The following is an 18,238-nucleotide window of genomic DNA, read 5'->3' on the forward strand; positions in this document are numbered from 1 at the left end:
GGGTGCTGTGTAGAGGCCCCGGGTGGATACTGCGTAGAGTTCCGGGTAGATGCTGCGTAGAGTTACAGGCAGTGCCTGGGCCCCTCTGGAGTTCCCTGCCCCCACCCCCGTGGGAGGCCCTGGTCCAGCTGCAGTGGAGTTTCCCCCGCTGTGGGAGGCGCTGGTCCGGCTGCAGCACAGCCTTGTTATCGGGGTGTTTATTTTTAGGGAACCAAATTTATACCAAACAAACTAGGTTTTCTGTCTACACAGTGACCCCCAGTTTCCTTTTGACAGTCTGCTTATTCGAGGACAGGGTGGGATGGGGCACTGGAACAGAGCTTGGTGCGCGTGGGTGTGGCTGGGGAGGGCGGGGAGTGCCTTGGCCGTGGCTTGGGGGTGTCACCCTGCCGGCCCAGCATTGGCCGGGACCCTCCGTGTGCCCAGCGGGGTTTTGGGGGGCAGAGTGATGGTGGAGATGTTGCCTCTGCTCCCAGCATCCCCCTGGCTGCTTCCCTCTGCCCCAGCGGGCTCCTCAAGTGAACTGGCTCCTGCCCCAGGGCCTTTGCACCAGCCACAGCTGTGGCCTCTGCCGCTTTTCCCTGTGTTGCCCTGGTTTGAACGTCCCGTCCCCGTCCCCCCGGGAGGCCTTCCCTGGTACCCCGTGCGTGGTAGTCCTGCACAGGCGCCCCTCCTTCCCCACTCTTCATGCTGTCCCGCCCGAGCCCTCTCAGCACTCCCGCTGCAGCAGGGCAGACAGGGCCCGTCCTCTTGCTGTGTCCCAGGCAGCCTGTCACACCGGGTACGCTCCAGAGCCCTGGCCCCCCTCCCCGCCCTCCTTGGGCTCCTGGGGCAGGGCTGGGCCTAGGTGCTGGCATCCTGAGCTCATGCGGCCACCAGAGGCCGCTGCAGCCTTGCCCAGGCCTGCAGCGCCCGAGCTGCCCTGCTAGGTTTCACCTCGCCGGGGTCTGCAGTATTTCCTGCTCGGATTCAGCCAGGGCCTCCCTCCTGACATCACGGAGGGTTTGTGCTGGGCTGTTAGGCGGATCTCGGATGATGGGCGAGGCCAGGAGGAGAGTGAAAGCGCCTCCGAGTCAGCCAGGCTTGGATTCTGTCGTCAGAGGGGCTCTGTGTCTAGCAACCTCCACGTAACCGTGTTCGGTCCTCTGCTCCCTGTGTTCCCCGCATGAGCCGGGCATGAACAGGGACCTCCTTCACCGCCTGAGGTCCCCTCTCCCTGGCTGGTGACCCCCATCTCTGAGAGCACGGGGACGTCCCCTGTGCTGTGGAGGAGCGTGTGCTCTCCGAGATCCAGGTGCTGCCCCCGAGGAGCGCATGCCCTCTGAAATACAGGTGTTGCCGCCATCCCCGAGAGCACGGGGACGTCCCCTGTGCTGTGGAGGAGCGCCTGCCCTCCCAGATCCAGGTGCTGCCCACCAGGCGGTGTTAGGAGTGCCTCGTCCGCAAGGGCGCCATCCTTGTTAATGGGATTCAGGCCTTTGTAAAAGTGGATTCTTCACGTGGTGCTGAGCCGGCTGCTCTCTGGCCTTTGGCCTCCTGTCAGGTTGGGCGCAGCCAGGAGGCCCTCGCTAGAGGCTGGTGCCTTCATCCTGGACTTCCCGGCCTGCGGAACTGGAGAGAAGACAGTGTCACTTTTTAGAAGTTACCTGCTCTCAGGTAACCTGTAACAGTGGTGCAGACGGACTGAGACACCGTCAGTTCCAGAATCTTAGAGAAATTCCAGGGGCCCCTTCAATCACCTATGAGGCCAATACCCAGCCGGCACCTGCGTGTACCCGGCGGTGTCCTCACTGCACACGGAGAACAGCGCCGCACCAGTGGGGCCTCTCTCCCCCTGTGCTTCCCCCGCTCCCTCTCTGTCTTGTCTCTCCCTCTCCTCCCGTCCCCCGATTCCGGGTCTCCCTTCAGGAAATGAACGCGGCTGCCGGACAGTGAAGTCACAGCTACATCCGTAATGAGGGATAGCTGAAGAGCTGTGGAGCGCGCGTTCCGGCGATAAGGGACGCTGGAGCGTTTAATTGGCGTTGAGGAAATCAGCTGCGGAGAATCAGCAGTCGTTTCCCGAGCGTCGGTCGTGCTGGGAGCTGTGGCGAAGGCCCCGGCGGTAAGCGATTCCCGCTGGACAGCGAGGAGCGTGTCCGTTCCCTGCGGTGTCTGGGTCTTCCCCCACTGGGGCCAGCAGCCCACGGTGAAGGCCATGCCGGTCTCCAACGGCGCGGGCTCCACTCCCGGCTGGGAGGGTGGCACGGCCCCAGGCCTCAGTTGTCCCATCTGCAGAGTGTGCTGCCAGGGTCTATGCTCAGAAAGTGACTTCAGAACGTAGCGGTGTGGAACTGCAGCAGCACTGATTTCGCTCGTGAACCTGCAGTGTGGACTTGGTGGGGACGGCTCGCCTGCACTCCGGGTGGCAGGAGGTAGAGTTGGGTGTTGGGGGCTGGGGTCGTTAGAGCTCACCATGCAACATGACACACACCGCTACATACACACCACTACACACACTAGATACACCACTACACACACCACTACACACACTACACACACCACTACACACACACACTACACACACTACACCACTACACACACCACTACACACACTACACGCACACAGTACACACACCACTACACACACTACACGCACACAGTACACACACCACTACACACACTACACACACCACTACACACACACACCACTACACACACTAGATACACCACTACACACACCACTACTCACACTACACGCACAGTACACACACCACTACACACTACATACAAACCACTACACACACTACACACACACACCACTACACGCACACACTACACACACCACTACACACACACTACATACACCACTACACACACCACTACACATACTACACACACAGTACACACACCACTACACACTACATACAAACCACTACACACACTACACACACACACCACTACACGCACACTACACACACCACTACATATACCACTACACACACCACTACACACACACTACATACAAACCACTACACACACCACTACACACTACATACCACTACACACACCACTACACACACTACACGCACACACTACACACACCACTACACACACACACTGCATACACCACTACACACACACCGCTACACACTACACGCACACAGTACACACACCACTACACACACACTACATACAAACCACTACACGCACACTACACACACCACACACACACCACACACACCATTACACACACTACACTACACACACCACTACACACACACCACTGCATACACACTACATACACCACTACACACACTACACACACTACACACACTACACACACAACCACTACACACACACTACACGCACACACTACACACACAACCACTACACGTACCACTACACACTACACACAACCACTACACACACCACTACACACACACCACTACATACACCACTACACACACCACTACACACACCACTACACACACTACACGCACAGTACACACACTACACACACAACATACAAACCACTACACACACTACACACACCACTACACACACACTACACACACCACTACACACACACACTACACACACTACACACACACCACTACACACCACTGCATACACACCACTGCATACACCACTACACACACCACTACACGCCACTACACACTACACACACCACTACACACAACACACAACCACTACACACACACTACACACACCACTACACGCACACACTACACACACCACTACACACACTACACACAACCACTACACACACCACTACACACGCACCACTACACACACGCACCACTACACACTACACACACACCACTACACACACACCATTACACACTACACACACCACTATGCACACACATACACACCACTACACACACATTACGCTACACACACACTACACACACTACAGGCACACACTACACCACTACACACACACTACACACATTACACACACTACACACTCCACTATGCACACACTACACATACACCACTACACACACACCATTACACACACTACACACACCACTACACGCACACACTACACACACCACTACACACACACAGCATTACACACACTACACACACCACTACACGCACACACCATTACACACACACTACACACACCACTGCACACACTACACATACACACCACTACACACACCATTACACACACACTACAAACACCACTACACACACACTACACACACACCACTACACTACACACACCACTATGCACACTACATACACACACCACTACACTCACACACCATTACACACACACTACACACACCACTACACACCACTACACACACACCATTACACACACACTACACACACCACTACACACCACTACACACACACCATTACACACACACTACACACACCACTACACACCACTATGCACACACTACACACACACCATTACACACACACTACACACACCACTACACACACACTACACACACACACCACTATGCACACACTACACATACACACCACTACACACACACCATTACACACACACTACACACACCACTACACACACATTACACTACACACACCACTACACACTACACACACACCACTATGTACACACTACACATACACACCACTACACACACCATTAGACACCACTACACACACACTACACACCACTACACACTACACACACACCACTATGCACACACTACACATACCACTACACACACACCATTACACACACACTACACACACTACACACTACACACACACCACTACACACTACACACACCACTATGCACACACTACACATACACGCCACTACACACACCACTACACACACGCAACACACACCACTATGCACACACCACTACACACACTACACACACCACTACACTACACACACACCACTATGCACACTACACATACACACCACTACACACACACACCATTACACTACACACACCACTACACATCACTACACCCACACCATTACACACACACTACACACACACTACACACACACTATGCACACTACACATACATACCACTACACGCACACACCATTACACACACACTACGCACACGACTACACACACTACACACACACTACTACACACACTACACACATCACTATGCACACACTATACATACAGACCACTACACACTACACACACACACCACTACACACACTACACACACACACCACTATGCACACACTACACATACACACCACTACACACACACCATTACACACACACTACACACACCACTACACACACACTACACACACACACACCACTACACGCACACCACTACATACACCACTACGTACACACACCACTACATGCACACACCACTACACACACACACCATTACACACACACACCACTACATGCGCACACACACACGCGCACACGCAGGCCCTGGGCCCCCACCCACCTTCCTCAGCGCCCTCCCTGCACGTGTGACGCGGTGGCCCCCAAAATGCCTCTGACCCTGCCTGGTCTTCCTAGATGTTCTGCACCAGCTTTGCTGGTGTTTTCAGGGTGCCTACGGGGACCCCTCATCCCGCAGCCTTCACAGGGGGTGGGGTTCACTCCTCGGATCTCACGGGGGCTAACGTGTCCCCCGGAAAGAGATGTCCCCGTCCTGGCCCCCAGCATCGGCGAGTGGACCTTATTTGGAAATAGGGTCTTTGCAGATTAAGGAGCCAGCTGAGATCATCCTGCATTCAGGGTGGGCCATCAGTCCGGTGGCCGGTGTCCTAGTCAGAGGCGTGAAGAGGAGGGCGGAGGCCGGAACTATCCATCGGCTCCGAGGGTGGAGCAGGGGCCTCTGGGAGCTGGAAAAGGCAGGAATGGGTCCTCCCTGAGTCTCTGAGGGCCCCGCCTGCCCACACCTGCCCATATTTGCCCCAACCTGCCCACACCTGCCTCAGGACAGCATCTCGGTCTCCTGGCTGCCAGACTGTGATGAAGATGCATGGTTCTAGGCCACTGGCTTGTGGTGACTTGTTGCATCAGCTGTGGGGAGCTCACACGGTAGCGCCTGTCTTGGGGGGTGCTGGGCGGGTGACCTTCAGGAGACCCCTGGGGCCCCGCTGCCCTCCCAATGCCTCCAGTCCCAGTGTCTCTGTGGTGGCATCCTGTGCTGAGGATGGTGCCTCGCGGAGCCTCCACTGCCCCTGTGTGCTCCGCACCACGTCTGTCTCGATGGCGCCCCTCGAAGACCTCGGGAAGCTCCCCGTTCGCTGTGGCCCCCCGGGGTCTGTCCCCTGCAGCACTGTTCTCTGGGGGCTCGTGGTCCGAGTTCTGATACTGCAGGTGGCAGGTCCCCTGAAGGCATAGTCAGAGGCTTTGCTCTGGGCTGGCATGGAGGTATGGGCGTGGCGGGGTGTGGCTGGGCGTGGAGGGGCATGGAGGTGTGGGCAGGGCATGGAGATGTGGGCGGGGCTGGGCGTGGAAGGGCGGGGTGTGGAGGTGTGGGCGGGTTGGGCACCTCTGGGGGTTCTGGGAAGACTCGTTGCTGACTTCTTTGGGCTCCAGAGTCTGCTGTGCTCCTGGGCTCTGGCATGGTCCCTTGCTTGTCACCCCGACCTCTGCTGCTGCGGCCACTGCTCCCTCTGCCTCTCCTGCCTCCATCCTGTAAGGACCATGTGATGAACTGGGCCGGGGTCATCCAGGAGGACCCCCTGCTAGACCCTCAGCCGGTCTCACCTGCAGAGTCTCTTCTGCCCCGTGGGGGACACAGCCACGGGCTCTGGGGAATGAGATGTGAACAGATGGGGCTGGCAGCAGGTGTGATTGGACCTGGGACTGAAACAGCATTGTTCTCTTCTCGCCTCTCTCGGCCCCTTTTCCTTCTTTCATTCGTTTCCCCAGAGCTTGGGCAGTGCTCACGTGGGTGTCTAGGCAGCCGCCCATGCCCACGCTGGGCGAGCCCTCTTCACCCCAGCTGGGGAGTGCTCTGCCAGGTCCACCCTGCTCCCAGCTCTGCTCAGCATGCTGGCCGATTGCTGTCTGGGCCACTCAGGCACGTGACAGTGTCGGGGAAGGAGCTGTGAACTGCCACAGACAGTGCTCCCCGAGGCCCGACGGGCTTTGCTGCTTGGGACAGCTGGTGAGTGGCTGAAGCCCTACTGGCTGGCAGGCAGACGGGGAGGCGGTGGCGCGGTGCTGGGCTGATCCTGCTGTCATTCTAGTCCAGTGGTTCCGGCTGCATGAGAGAATGGAAACTGGGTAGATAAGAGGAAAAAGTAATGAAGAGATAACGGTGCGGGGGCCACGGGACCAGGCATCCTCTTCCAGATCTGCAGGCCCTGAGCCCAATGGAACCGGCAGAAAGCGAGGGGGTGGAGTGGGTGGGCTCGGGGGGCTCTGTCGGGGTCTCCTGGAAACCAGGGGACAGAGGGTCCAGCCCAGGGTTGCAGCACCCTCAGGACAGGCTGGGAGCTTCTTCACAGAGGTGGTGGGGGGACTGTCCCTGGTGGGACAGCCTCGTCCCCTTCCCTGTCAGCCCTTCAGGAAGTCCGGAGAGGCAGTGTCCACTGTCCCAGTGCGTGCGGCACGGTGGCGTGAGAGTTCACAGCCCAGTGCCCTCCGCCTGTCCTTGCAATACCTGTGCAAGGTGTGATCAAGAAGGAAGAGCCGGGTGCTGGCAGGTTCCCCCAGCTGGTGTCGGAGGACAGCCAGGCTCAGGAGCCCTGCGTGCCCATGTGGGAAGTGCCTGACAGCCCCACAGACGGGGCGGTGGAAGCAAGGCAGGCTGGATGGTGGCAGGACCTGGTGGCAGGACCTGGTGGCCAGAGGGGCCCGGAGACAGGGAGTGATCTTGGGACCGACTGTCCTCCTCCCACATTCCCCCAGCTCCTGGCCCCCTCTGGCCGAAGCCCCCGCCCTTCCCGTTCCCTGGGCCCTCATCTCTTCTCCTGCTGGCCGCCTCCCACCAGGCCTGCTCCACCGCAGGCCCTCCCCTGAGAGCTTCCCGCAGTCTCCAGCCTCAGATCCCGGCAAAAAGATTCCGTGTGGTGACCCCTGACCCCACCGATAAAGATGCTGCGGCCTCCAGCATCCTGGCTCTGCCCTGGACCCAGCTCCTCCCCACTCAGTTCCTCCCCACTCAGCTCCTCCTCCCTTAGCTCCTCCTCCCTCAGCTCCTCCTCGCTCAGCTCCTCCCCACTCAGTTCCTCCTTCCTCAGCTCCTCCCCACTCAGCTCCTCCTCCCTCAGCTCCTCCTCCCTCAGCTCCTCCTCCCTCAGCTCCTCGTCCCTCACCTCCTCCTCCCTCACCTCCTCCTCCCTCAGCTCCTCCTCCCTCAGCTCCTCCTCCCTCAGCTCCTCAGCTCCTCCTCCGTCACCTCCTCCTTCCTCAGCTCCTCCTCCCTCAGCTCCTCCTCCCTCAGCTCCTCCTCACTCAGCTCCTCCGCCCTCAGCTCCTCCCCACTCAGCTCCTCCTCACTCAGCTCCTCCTCCCTCAGCTCCTCCTCCCTCAGCTCCTCCTCTCTCAGCTCCTCCTCAGCTTCTCCTCCGTCACCTCCTCCTTCCTCAGCTCCTCCTCCCTCAGCTCCTCCTCCCTCAGCTCCTCCTCCCTCAGCTCCTCCTCCCTCAGCTCCTCCTCACTCAGCTCCTCCCCACTCAGCTCCTCCCCACTCAGCTCCTACTCCCTCAGCTCCTCCGCCCTCAGCTCCTCCTCACTCAGCTCCTCCCCACTCAGCCCCTCCTCACTGAGCTGTTCCTCGCACTGGACTCTGCGGCTGGGTCATCACTCCTCCCCACTCAGCCCCTCCCCACTCAGCCCCTCTTCCCTCAGCTCCTCTCCACTCAGCCCCTCCTCACTGAGCTGTTCCTCGCACTGGACTCTGCGGCTGGGTCATCAGAGGCCCTGCCCTGCCCTGCCCTCCACTGCGTGGAGACGCCACATCGTGAGAAAGCCGAAGCCCCACCATGGCTCATGACACCTGCCTCGGTTTTCTCAGCCTGGCTGTCTTGGGACCCCAGCAGCCACCTGAAGCCCCCATTTGGTGGGGCTGCATCCAGCCACCGCCAACCCACAGCATCAAGGAGGGAAGAAAACAGCGTTCCACAGCTCTGCCCTGGGGGCTGTCCTTCCCTGCCCTGGGACGGGAAACATGTGCCCTGCACAGATCCTCTCCTCTCTCCCCTCTCCTCTCTCCCCTCTCCCCTCCCCTCTCTTGTCTCCTCTCCCCTCTCCCCTCATCTTTTCTTTCTTTTTGGCAGACATAGGACACATTCCTCTCTGCTACTCTCAAATCCCCCTCGTCACACATTATTTTGTCACCTGCAGCTTCTGGCCTCCAGAACGACCCCCAGGATGCCCCCGGGCTCACACCGCCTGGCCCTCCCTCATGCCTGGGCTTGGTCGGAACTGCCAACACCTGGCACGAGAGGGTGCAGTGTATCCAGAATCCGGTCCTGAGGTGCTGTCCTGTCCTCCATGCTGTCCCCAGCCACCCCTCTCGGGTCACCAGCCGCCCTGCCGTGAGGAGGCTCGGGGAGGCCCGTGGGGAGGTGGGAGGCAGGTAGGAGCCAGGGAAGCAGCCTCCTGGGCCAGCCTGTGCTCTGCCTGCTTCCTGAGCTGTGGCCACTACAGAGCTGTTTATTTTTATTGATGTGGCAACTGCACTCTGAGGGAAATTACTGTGTTAGGAAATATTTCCCCGCTACCGCAGTCAATTTTGGTTTCATTTAAAATTCAAAAGCGGTGTTGGCCGCCTTCCCAGGCAGTGGGGGCACACAGAGTCCGAGTTGTCCCTGCCCTCCCAGCCCAGCTGGCTCCCGGGCAATGCAGCCACAGCAGACGCCTCATGGAGAGTGGGATCAGCCACCGAAGTCATGGGCAGGGCGGGGGCAGGGGCCCTTCTGAAATTCCTTCCCCAAACCCTCCCATTTGGGCCATGAGGGTGGATGTCGCCTTTTCTGGAAGGCGGGAAGCCCTTGCTGAGCATCCCCTCCATCCCGGTGCTTGGCTGCTGGTGAGCCCTGGCTCCGGAGCCATTGGGAGCTTCCCTGGGCCCTGACCTCACCCATGGCCGCGTCACCTCCCTCACTGTCCCTCCTGCATGTCTGTTCCTCCCCTGACCCTGTCGTTCTGTTTCTAGCCCCAGGTGGCTCCATCCCTAGCTGCCGGGTCCTCCCCACCTGTGGGACCTCGACTCCGCCCTGTGCTGGGCACAGCTCCATCCTGCAGGTCCGAGCCACTTCGACTCCGCCCTGTACTGGGCGCAGCTCCATCCTGCAGGTCCGAGCCACTCCAATGCCTTTTAGTTTCCTTCCCCCAGAAGCATTCTCAGTTGATGCTGGGTCAGAGCTGTCATGCACTGAGCTGCCCGTGGGGAGGGCAGGTGCCCCGCAGGAAGGTGGGGCCCTGCTGCTCTGGCAGAATGGGGGCTGCTCAGGCCAGGGGGTATAGGGGCTGCAGGACGCCCCCCAGGACGGGTGCCTGGCCTGCCCCAGAGGAGCAGCATCACCTGAGCTCGCACCTGTGCCCTTGCCACCCTGCGTGGGCTGCCCCTGCCATGTGAGCTCCTCTCCCTGCTCTACACATATTTTAAAGGACAGGTGAGTAACCAAAAACCAGGTAGGTGCTGTGCAGAGCCAGGATGTGTGGCCCAGCCCTGAACCACGCTCACTTGCAGGCTGCCCAGGGTCCCCTGGGCGCAGGTCACCCACATAATGGGGCCCGCATCGGGGCGCAGAGGGTGACACCCCAGCCTCCAGGAAGGTGCCTCATGGGTGGCTCAGCCCTGGTTAGCCCCATGGCTAACAAAGCCAGGAATTACCGCAGAGCCTGGGCGTGCAGGTGGCACGGCCTCTGGAATTTGGTTTTGTCCTGTCACTAACTGGATAAATGGCCCAGCAGTCTCACCGTGTTCGTACTGTTAAAGAAGAGTCGCTGGGCTCCCGGCTGCTCAGGGACGTGCCGCGTGGCTGCCATCCTGTGGTAATTCCACATCTAATGTGTTCAGGACTCTCCAGACAGTTTTCCACAGTGGGTGCACCATTGACATCCCACCAGCAGGGCACAAGGGTCCAAGTTCTCCACATCCCCGCCAGCACTGGTCCCTTCCATCTCTCTCTGTCTCTCTCAATCATCTCTCTCCCCTATCTCTCTATCTCTGTGATCTCTCTATCATATCTGCTATCTATTCTATCTCTCTACCTATCTCTATTTGTCTATTTCAATCTATTACTTACCTGTCTGCCACATCTATCTATATTGATGATCTCTATCCTATGTCTATCATCTATATTCATTGATCAATCATATATATCTGTATCATTTATCTATCTGTATCTGCCACTTAGCTAATCTATCACTTACCCATCCATCCACCCATCCGTCCATCAACCACTCATCCATCCGTTGACCCATCCATCATCCGTCCACCCACCCACCCATCCACCCAGCCATCCATCCATCATCCGTCTACCTAGCCATCCATCTATCCACCCATCCATCATCCATCCAGCCATCCATCCATCATCCATTCATCCACCCATCATCCACACATCCATCCATCTACCCATCCATCTGTTCTGTGCAGGAGATGCGTGAGGGGAGAAGAAAAGACACACAATACCTGTAACGGTAAACAACCTTTATTCCACGTAAATGGCAGTGGAGATATATAATAAGCAAATTGCAATGGGAAGGGGAAAAGGGAAAAAATATATATATATTTATATTATATATTATATATTATATAAATATATATAATGTATGTTATAAATATATAATATATAAATATAGTACATATTTAAATATATATCATATATTTACATATTTAAATATATATCATATATTTACATATTTAAATATATATCATATATTTACATATTTAAATATATATCATATTTACATATATAATATATTTATATATTTATATATATAATGTATATTATATATAATATATAAATATATATTATATATAATATACATTATATATATAAATATATAAATATATGTATTTATATATAAATGTATATTATGTATATTTATATATATAAATGTATATTATGTATATTTATATATATAAATGTATATTATATACATTTATATATATTTATATATGAATGTATATTATACATTCATATATAAATGTATATTATATATGTTTATATATAAATGTATATTATATATATTTATGTATAAATATATAATATATATTATATATTTATATATAAATATATTTAAATATATGTTTATATATAAATATATTTAAATATATATTTATATATATTTAAATACATAAATATATTTAAATATATATTATATATTCATATACATAAATAAATATATTTAAATATATATTATATATATTCATATACATAAATAAATATATTTAAATATATATTATATATATTCATATACATAAATAAATATATTTAAATATATATTATATATATTTATATACATAAATAAATATATTATATATGTTTATATATTTAAATATATTTAAATATATTTAAATATGTATATTTAAATATATATATTTATATATATGTATATTTAAATATATATTTATATATAAATATATAAATATATATAAATATATTTAAATATACATATTTATATATATATTTAAATATATATATATGTATACTCACCAGACTATGGAGGATTCACCACCAGACTGGGAAGCAACAGCCTGGGCTCCAGAGTCGGCTGCCTGTCTGTGCACAGATGGGGAGAGGTCTCATGAATCTTTGGCACGGTCTGGGACCTGAGCTCTTTTTGTAACGAGTTGTTTTTTCATGAGGCCTAGTCACAAGGGCCCTTCGCGACCAGGCTCAAGGAACGCAAAAAGGTCAACTTGTTCTTGCAATTGTCTGTTGTTTTTCAATAACTAATGTATAGGAATAGATTGAAATAGAGATTTCTCTGAAACAGCACTGGATGAATGCCTCAAGGGACTCACACGACCTGTTCCAGGACTTGGTGACCATTGTTAGTTTCCACGTTGAATTTAGTTCAAATTTAATATTTAACTTTTCCTGCACACTATCACCTACCCATCCATCCATTCATTCACCCATCCATGCATCCATCATCCAGCCACCCACCCACCCATCCATTATCCATCCAGCCACCATTCATCCACTCATCCATCCATCCACCCATCACCCACCCATCCATCCATCATCCATCCACCCAGCCATCCGTCATACATTCATTCATCCATCCATCACCCATTCATCCATCCATCCACCCATCAATCCATCCACCCACCCATCCTTCATCCACCCAGCCATCCATCATACATTCTTCCATCTATTCATCCATCCACCCATCCATCCATCCAGCCAGCCAGCCATCCATACATCCACCCACCCACCCACCCATCATCCATCCATCCATCATCCATCCACCCAGCCATCCATCCACCCACCCATCCCTCATCCACCCAGCCATCCATCATACATTCATTCATCCATCCATCCATCCAGCCATCCATACATCCACCCACCCACCCACCCATCATCCATCCATCCACCCACCCACCCATCATCCATCCATTCACCCATCCATCCATCCACCCACCCATCCATCATACATTCATCCATCCATCCATTCACCCATCCATCCATCCACCCACCCATCCATCATCCACCCAGCCATCCATCCATCATACATTCATTCATCCATCCATCCATCCCTTCCATCCATTCACCCATCCATCCATCCACCCACCCATCCATCATCCATCCGTCCATCCACCCAGCCATCCATCCATTCACCCATCCATCCATCCACCCATCCATCCATCCACCCACCCATCCACCCATCCATCCATCATCCACCTACCCATCCATCATCCATCACCCACCCATCCATCCATTCACCCATCCATCCATTATCCATTCACCCAGCCATCCATCATACATTCATTCATCCTTCCATCCACCCATCACCCACCCATCCATCCATTTACCTATCCATCCATCCACCCCCCCATCCATCATCCATCCACCCACCCATCCCTTATCCATCCATTCATCCACCCAGCCGTCCATCCATCATACATTCATTCATCCATCCATCCATCCATCCATCCATCCATCACCCATTCACCCATCCATCCACTCATCATCCATCTGCGCCATCCCTTGGTGGTGAAGTGCAGTCTCCCTGTGGTTTGAGTGGGTCTCTCTGATGGCTGGTGAGGCGGAACCTCGTTTCTGCCTGTGCGTGCTGAGGCTGTTGGGCACAGCCATGCATTGTTTGCAGGTGTGTCTGGGGACTCCCTCCTCCAGAGTCCCAGGCCACCGAGCAGCACAGGCACCCGAAGCTGCCATGCTGAAATGGCAACGCAGAGAGACCTCTGGGCCCTACTCTTCCTCTCCTTGAGCCAGACACTCCGACCACAGAATCCAAGGGAGGAGATAAAGTGATTGGCATTGCTTAAGCCACTCAGCTGTGGGGTTCTTGTTAGAAGGCAGTAGGCGGCCGCAGCTGTGAGCCTGAAGGGGTCACTCCTCCACCTAGGGTGGGCACCCAAGCGAGGAGCTTTTGGGAAAACACCCGGCTCGGGGCCACCCTCCCTCTCTGCAGCCTCTTCCCTGCCCGGAGCCCTGAGCCTCTCAAGGGCAAGCTGGAAGGAGAGTGGCCGGTGGCAGGGAGGCAGAGCTGGCATTGGGATTTGCTGGGGCGGTAAGTGTGCAGGACGGGGGCCATTCACACAGCAGCAGAGGAGGTCACGTGGGCCAGAACCCAGGCGGAAATCGGTAGGTTTAATAACAACACACGAGGCCGAAACAGCGTCCCCAAGGGTTGCCCACGATGGCTTTGTTCTCGCCAGATGTGCACGCCCACAGCACGTGCGGTTTCCGAGGTGAATCAGCATTTCTGGAAACCTGGCAGGGATTGAAACCTGGGGATCCCGAGACACAGCTGAGTGTAGGGGTCGGGGAGGCGCTGGAGTGGCTGTGGAGGGCAGGATGTGGGGGCAGTCACTTTCTGGCCTGGGGGCTGAGCCTTCTGGGCTCTTCCCAGGTCAGAGCTGGTCTGGCGGCAGCGTCAGCGGGGCTGGACGAGGGTCCCCAGGAACGCTGCTGAGCCTCAGGCCCACGGGGCTTCCCAGCTGTGGCCTTTGGTTGGGCTGGACTGGAGGAGATGAACAAGCTGGGAGGAGGGGCTCTGCAGCCAGCCCTCTTGCTCGCCACTGAGGTCCTGAGCCTCAGTTTCCCCTGAGTGAAACGGGTTGGGAACAGCCTTCTCCATGGGCTTTCTGCAAGTCACAGTGAGGCCGGCCACACGTCCCAGCACAGTGAGCTTGTGGGGAGGGGGGCCCACTGGGGTCCTCTGGGGGCCGATGCTGAGACGGGGTCTAGGCCGGGATAACGGGATAGTCCATTGCTGGGCCAGGGCTGCTGAGCGTGGGTGGGGACTGCCGACTGCAGTACAGACCCAGACGGCAGGAGCCCGGCAAAGCCTGCCCTTCCGAGGAGCCTCACGTCGGAGGAGCTGCCTGGGCTGTGCTGGCGCCAGGCTTAGAAGCCGGGGCCCCAACTCCGATGGTGCCGGGGCTGAGGCTGTCCCTGGCTCTGGGGGTACATCCTTTCTTGATGCCAGGGAGCAGGATGCGGGGTTGGGAAGGAGTTGGGTTGTGGGCCAGGGACCCCGTGGGCCTTTCATGGGGCCAGCAGGGAGGGCGTCTGCTCCCACGGCGGGTGGTGGGATGGCTCCACGTGGTCACAGGGCCAGGAGCACCAGCACCGGCTGAGCCTTCTTAGAAATGCAGAGTCCCGGGTGCACCCTGCCTGCTGTGCCGCACCGGCTCCCTTTCTGGTGGGGTCCCGGCCCTCTGGCGGAGTGCACTGAGGGATCTGGGGGATAGGAGCCCCTGTGGTGGCCAGCACCCTGCCCCTCCCGGCTGGCCCTGGCGTCTGTGCACCGAGCTGGGGGCCACTGAGTCCTGGGTGTGACTCCCACGTGCCAGGGGCCCCTGGTCCTGGCCCCACCCCAAGGTGCTTTCTGGGGAAGGTGGGCCGTGTGGCAGGGGGAGACAGCGGGGAGGGTGGGCCACGTGGCAGGGGGAGAAGCAGGGAGGGCGGGCCACGTGGCAGGGGGGAGACAGCGGGGAGGGTGGGCCACGTGGCAGGGGGAGAAGCAGGGAGGGCGGGCCACGTGGCAGGGGGGAGACAGCGGGGAGGGTGGGCCACGTGGCAGGGGGGAGACCTCAGGGAGGGTGGGCTGCGTGGCAGGGGGAGACCTCGGGGAGGGTGGGCTGCGTGGCAGGGGGAGACAGCGGGGAGCCAGGGCCGGAGCCGGCCAGTGTTCTTTAGGGAACACAGCCCCTGCCCGTGGCAGGCACCCCAGGGCGGGGACGCTGAGGGGTCTCAGCTCCTCTGAGCAGCTCCCACCTGCCCCTCCTGGCTGCTGGCCTGAGTTCCTCCCTGAGCCTGGGCCACCGCCAGAATCACGTGTCCAGCACGGGCAGTGGCAGGTGAGACTGGCAGGTGGCCCCAAACCCCGGATGTCGGCCAGGACGTCTGCGGCATAACCTCTGTCCATCTGACACGGGGGCCCCTGAGGCTGCTGGCCCCCCACCTCCCATGGCACCTGGGTCCTGGTAGGAGAGCTGACCTGAGTGGGGCGTGGGCTTGAGGGGCATGGGTGGAAGGACCCTGGGTCTCATGAGGGCGCTCTCTCTGCACTCCCACCACGCCCCAAAAGAAGGGCAAAGGCAGAGGGGATCCTGTGAGTCTCTGCAGGGTGGACATGTTCCCTGGTGGGGAGGGCAGCTGGAGGTCTGATGCCCCTAGCCTGGACCAAGAACTCGCAGACTGGCCTGGTGGCTTCTGAGCACACACAACTGAGGTCAATTTTATGCTCTGGAATTGATTTCAAATTAAATTTTGTTTCTTTCGACCCAGTCAATACTTGGAACAAGTTCTAATCAGGAGAGCGATTCGGGGCTCACACCCTCCTTCTGTAGGCTGGGCTCAGGCCTCATTCTCAGTAAGGAACGTTGTGATGTCAGCCCTCTTCCTGCACTAGCAAAAGTGCCATTAATCAGCCTTTCTGACGGTTACAGGAATTCTTAATGATGCATTTATTTACACAGATTTCTCTGCTCTGGGTAAATTCTTTTCTCCCCGTGCCAGACCACAAAGTACATGGCAGTCGATAGCAGAATTATGAGAAACGCAATTTACTTTGCGGATCTAATGAGCAGATGAGTAGAAAGTCGCCAGCCCCAGCCTTGGCCGCCACACACATCCTGGCCCGCTCCTCCTGGGAAACGGGTCTGTACTGCCTGGTGCTGGGCGGGGGCGGCCTCGTCATCCTCCAGTCACATTTTTCCAAGCACACTGTGGTCGAGCCATGGCCCCAGCCCCTTTCTGTCCCCATCCCCCAATGTCCCCGGGGCAGGTCCCTTTAATACACAGGGGTGCCTTGGGCAGGCCCTGGCTGGGCCCTCTCCATCCTGGCAGACACTCCCAGGTTCTGTCCCGTGCTGGAGGTGAACACGCTTGTCACTGGCCAAAGAGTGAGCTGGAGACAGTTTGCACGGCAGGGGACCCTGTGGCCACAAATGAAGTCCCCCGGTGTGTGTGTGGAGAGGGGGGGAACAAGAGGACATTGGCTGCCCTGCAGCCCCATGAGGACGAGGACCATGCCCCGTCCAGCGGGAGGCTGGTGGACCCCGGGTTCCGATGACGCTGAGCCAGAGAGCCAACGCGACCACGTTTTGGGGAGGGAACCCCGGCACCTTGGGGCGTCAGCAAGGGGCATTGACTTTTGGCCACCTAAGGAGTACTGGACATCACACATGTGCACACCCATGAGACCAGCACACACAGGCAGGCACAGGTGCACTCACACCCTCCAACACCAGGCAGAACGCGCGTGCAGACACCGGTGTGGCCTCAGTTTCTGTCCCTGGGGCCCGTGGAGCTGTTGCCAGATCAGGCTGTGCAGTGCTGCGTGGGACCCACCGAGGAACTTGCCCAGCCGCGTGCATGGTAGCTACGATGTGGAGACGTTGACGGTTTCCATCTGCCTTGAATTGTGATGCTGCCGGTCAGGGAGCAGCTCTGGGGGACCAGGCCTGGCCACCTATGATGGTGTTGGTGGAGACGGCTTCCGACGAGGTCGGGTTCGTGCCTAGGCGTGTCCTGCACATTCGAGGCCACAGACGTGGGGATGTGTGGGGTGTCGGGGGTGGGGACCGGGAAGACCTGGCAGGGGGTGAGGGGGCACCAGGGACACTGGAAGCCCTT

At 55.8% G+C, this 18,238-nt stretch overlaps 1 annotated feature.

Annotated features, from left to right (window-relative positions):
• Positions 1,120-1,620: an enhancer, noted in NCBI's record as "H3K4me1 hESC enhancer chr12:132638821-132639321 (GRCh37/hg19 assembly coordinates)". NCBI's record gives its function as "activates a minimal SCP1, AML or CMV promoter by ChIP-STARR-seq in naive and primed H9 embryonic stem cells {active_cell/tissue: H9 hESC(naive and primed)}" and the evidence as "EXISTENCE:reporter gene assay evidence [ECO:0000049][PMID:30033119]".

This window comes from Homo sapiens, chromosome 12, assembly GCF_000001405.40.
Source record: "Homo sapiens chromosome 12, GRCh38.p14 Primary Assembly".
In the NCBI taxonomy this organism is placed as follows: Eukaryota; Metazoa; Chordata; class Mammalia; order Primates; family Hominidae; genus Homo; species Homo sapiens.